We start from the raw sequence: 4,195 nt of genomic DNA, 5'->3' as shown, positions 1-4,195 counted from the left end.
TCTTTCTTTTCCAATTTGGATGCCTTTTGTTTCTTTTTCTTGCTTACTTGCTCTGGCTAGAACTTCCAGGACTATGTGGTTTTTAGTTTGTTTTTGTTTGTTTGTTTTTAGAGATGGGGTCTTGCTCTGATATCCAAGCTGGAGTGCAGTAGCGTGATCATAGCTCACTGCAGCCCAGAAATCCTGGGCTCAAGTGATCCTGCCACCTCAGCCTAAGTAGCTGGGACTACAGGCATGTGCCACCATGTCCAGCTAATTTGTTTTTTTGAGACAGAGTCTTGCTCTGTTGCCCAAGCTGGAGTGCAGTGGCACAATCTTGGCTCACTGCAACCTCTGCTTCCTGGGTTCAAGCGATTCTCATGCCTCAGCCTCCCAAGAAGCTGGGACTACAGGCATGCACCACCATGCCTGGCTAATTTTTGTATTTTTAGTACAGATGGGATTTTGCCATGTCTCTACTAAAGACAGAGTTTGAGGCTGGTCTCAAACTCCTGGCCTCAAGCAATCTGCCTGCCTTGGCCTCCCAAAATGTTGAGATTACAGGTGTGAGCCACCGCACCTGGCCAACTACGTTGAATAGAAGTGGTGAAATTGAGCATCTTTGCCTTGTTCTTGATTTTTAGAGAAAAAGCTTTCAGACGTTCACCATGGAGTGTGATGTTTGCTGTGGGTTTTTCATATATGGCTTTTATTATGTTGAGGTTGTTTCCTTCTATAAGTGTTTTTGTCATGAAAGGGTGTTGAAGTTTGTCAAATGTTTTTCTGCATTAATTGAGATGATCATTTTTTCCGCTTCATTCTGTTAATGTGGCGTATTGCATTGATCAATTGTTGTATATTGAACCATCCTTGCATTCCAGGAATAAATCCCACTTGGCTATGGTATATAATTCTTTTGATATGCTACTGAATTTGTTTGCTAGTATTTTATTGAGGATTTTTGAATCAATGATCATAAGGGATGGTGCCTTTGTCTGGCATTGGTATCAGGGTAATAATGATCTCTTAAATGAGTTAAGAAGTTGGAACATAGTTGTTTTATAATCTCTTTCAGATTGTTTTATTATGTCTAGTTCTTGGTATGCTGACTGTTTTGATAACTGTCTCATTGTGGTTTGTTCCTTCATGTAATTTATACTTCTTGGTTGAAAGGATGAGAATCTATATCTTTAGATAATTTTGAGATCATCTATTATAATCTTTCAACAAATGTACAGTTGACCTTTGAACACTACTGGGGTTTAGGAACACCAACACCCTGCACAGTCAAAAATCTGTGTATAACACATATTTTATATATTATATGTATTATATGCTGTACTCTTATGATAAAGTAAACTGGAGTAAAGACAATGTTATTAAGAAAATCATAAGGCAGAGAAAATATACTTACTATTAATTAAATGGAAGTAGATCATCATAAAGGTCTTCATCCTTTTCATCTTCATGTAGGTAGGCTGAGAAGGGGTTGGTCTTGCTGCCTCAGGGTATCAGAGGCAGAAGAAAATCTGAAGATAAGTGGATCCTTGCAGTTCAAACCCATGATGAGGAATGAGATAATTATATAGTCTCAAAGTAGTGCTCCACAAAAAAGTTACCTATATGCCATACTTACTAATTAGCTTTACAGTGGAGAAATCTGGCAGACATCTTTTTAACTGAGTGATAACAGTTATCATCAGTAAAGTGACAAATTGACATTGTGTACTTTCTGTGATGCACTAAGAAGAACTTGGCACCACTTCTAGGGTATTCCTACTAAAGAGGCATAAGTCATGAGTAGTTGAAGAAGTAATTAGGCAAACCCAAATTGAGGGACAAAATAACTACAAAATTACTAGCTATACTCTTCAAAATATCCAGATGACGAAAGACAAGAAAAGACTGAGGCAGTGTTCCAGATTGACAGACTGAAGAGATGTAACAGCTAAATGCAGTGTGTATTCCTGGATTGGGTCCTACACCTATAAGAGACATTACTGGAGGCTGGGCGTGGTGACTCACATCTGTAATCCCAGCACTTTGGAAGGCCAAGGCAGGCAGATCACTTGAGGTCAGGAGTTCGAGACGAGCCTGGCCAACATGGCAAAACCCTGTTTCTACTAAAATTACAAAAATTAGCTGGGTGTGTTTGCGCACACCTATTATCCCAGCTACTTAAGAGGTTGAGGCAGGAGAATCGCTTGAACCCAGGGGGCAGAGGTTGCAGTGAGCCAAGATTGTGCCACTGTACTCTGGCTTGGGCGACAGAGTGAGACTGCCTCAAAAAAAAAAAAAAAAAGACATTATTGGAAGAATTGGCAAAGTTCAAATAGGGCTTATAAGTTAGACAATACAATACATTGTATTGATACTAATTTTCTGATTTTGATGGTTGTACTATGGTTATATAGGAGAGTGTTCTAGCTTTTAGGAAATATACACTGAAGTAGTTAGGGTTAAAGGGTCATCAATTATGAAGCTCACTCTCAACGATTTAGAAATATCCACAATTGGCCTGGCATGGTGGCTCACACCTGTAATCCCAGCACTTTGGGAGGCCAACAGGGGTGGATCACCTAAGGTCAGGAGTTCGAGACCAGCCTGGCCAACATGGTGAAACCCCATCTCTACTAAAAATACAAAAAATTAGCCAGGCATGGTGGTGGGCGCCTGTAATCCCAGCTATTTGAGACGCTGAGGCAGGAGAATCTCTTGAACCTGGGAGGCAGAGATTGCAGTGAGCTGAGATTGGGCCATTGCACACCAGCCTGGGCGACAAGAACAAGACTCTGTCTTAAAAAAAAAAAAAAAAAGAAAAGAAAAGAAAAGAAATATCCACATTTGGAAAATCTGGGTGAAGCACACACAGGAGCTCTTTGTACAAGCTTCACAACACTTATGTAAATTTTAAATAATTTGGCTGGGCACGGTGGCTCATGCCTGTAATCCCAGCACTTTGGGAGGCCAAGATGGGTGAATTACTTGAGGTCAGGAGTTCCAGACCATCCTGGCGAACATGGGGAAACCCCATCTCTGCTAAAAATACAAAAATTAGCCGGGCTTGATGGTGCATGCCTGTAATTCCAACTACTTGGGAGGCTAGGGCAGGGAGAATTGCTTGAACCCAGGAGGTGGAGGTTGCAGTGAGCCAAGATTGAGCCACTGCACTCCAGCCTGGGCAACAGAGCGAGACTCTTTCTCAAAAAAATTTTTAAAAATCATTAAAAAATAAAAAGTAAAAGAAAGGAAGAAAAAGAAAAAGCAAGTCTAGAGGAACTGTGTGAATCTATGTCCAAAATCTCTTTCCTTTGGACCAGAACTGAATTGGGTATTGGCCTCCAGGAGAGCGCAGCAGACCTCTGGCCATGTGATTGGAGCCTTCAGTTACATTTTAATTTCTTTTTAATGTTAACATGGTCACCTTTTTACTTCTTCAATTTGAATCTAGCATCTTCTAGGCCAGTAGGTTGCAACTAGGGATTCAGATAACTTATTTATGTAGTTTTATTAATATACAGATACTCAGAAATTCAGACTTACTGAATCTCTTGATGTTCTCAATATGTTCTTTGTATGTTCTTGCTATAAACTTAGCAAGTTCATGATATATGATTTTTAAAAATGTTTGCCTAAGAATAGCCATTCAAAGACTCCTGAATACTCCTGGTCCACTTCTTATATATATGATATATTAAGTCAGGATTATTGTATGTTATATCTTCATTTTTTTCTCTGTAAAGATCATGTTCATCCCTTTTTATAAATTAGATGTAATGTTCACTGTCTTTTTTGAAAATCTAGTTAATTGTCACATTTATAATGATTTTGTCAGAAGCTTTTTTTTTTTTTTTTGGAGATGGAGTTTCTCTCTGTTGCCCAGGCTAGAGTGCAGTGGTGTGATCTTGGCTCACTGCAAACTTCGCTTCCCGAGATCAAGCGATTCTTTTGCCTTAGCCTCCCGAATAGCTGGGATTACAGGTGTGCACCACCATGCCTGGCTAATTTTTTGTATTTTTAGTAGGGATGAGGTTTCGCCACGTTGGCCAGGCTGGTCTTGAACTCCTGACATCAAGTGATCCTCCCACCTCGGCCTCCCAAAGTGCTGGGATGACAGGCTTGAGCCACTGCGCCCAGCCCAAAAGCTGTTGTTGGATTGACTTTATTATCTTGTTTTGCATTTCACAGAAACAATCAAATTTCCTTGCCAGCTGTG

At 40.1% G+C, this 4,195-nt stretch overlaps 1 annotated feature.

Moving 5' to 3' along the window:
- Nucleotides 706–906: a silencer, noted in NCBI's record as "peak4964 fragment used in MPRA reporter construct". NCBI's record gives its function as "represses an SCP1 promoter by STARR-seq MPRAs in K562 erythroleukemia cells {active_cell/tissue: K562}" and the evidence as "EXISTENCE:reporter gene assay evidence [ECO:0000049][PMID:32103011]".

Source organism: Homo sapiens, chromosome 3 (genome assembly GCF_000001405.40).
Source record: "Homo sapiens chromosome 3, GRCh38.p14 Primary Assembly".
Lineage (NCBI taxonomy): Eukaryota > Metazoa > Chordata > Mammalia > Primates > Hominidae > Homo > Homo sapiens.
The sequence above is the reverse complement of the archived record's forward strand: the minus strand, read 5'-3'. Positions and strand labels throughout refer to the sequence as shown.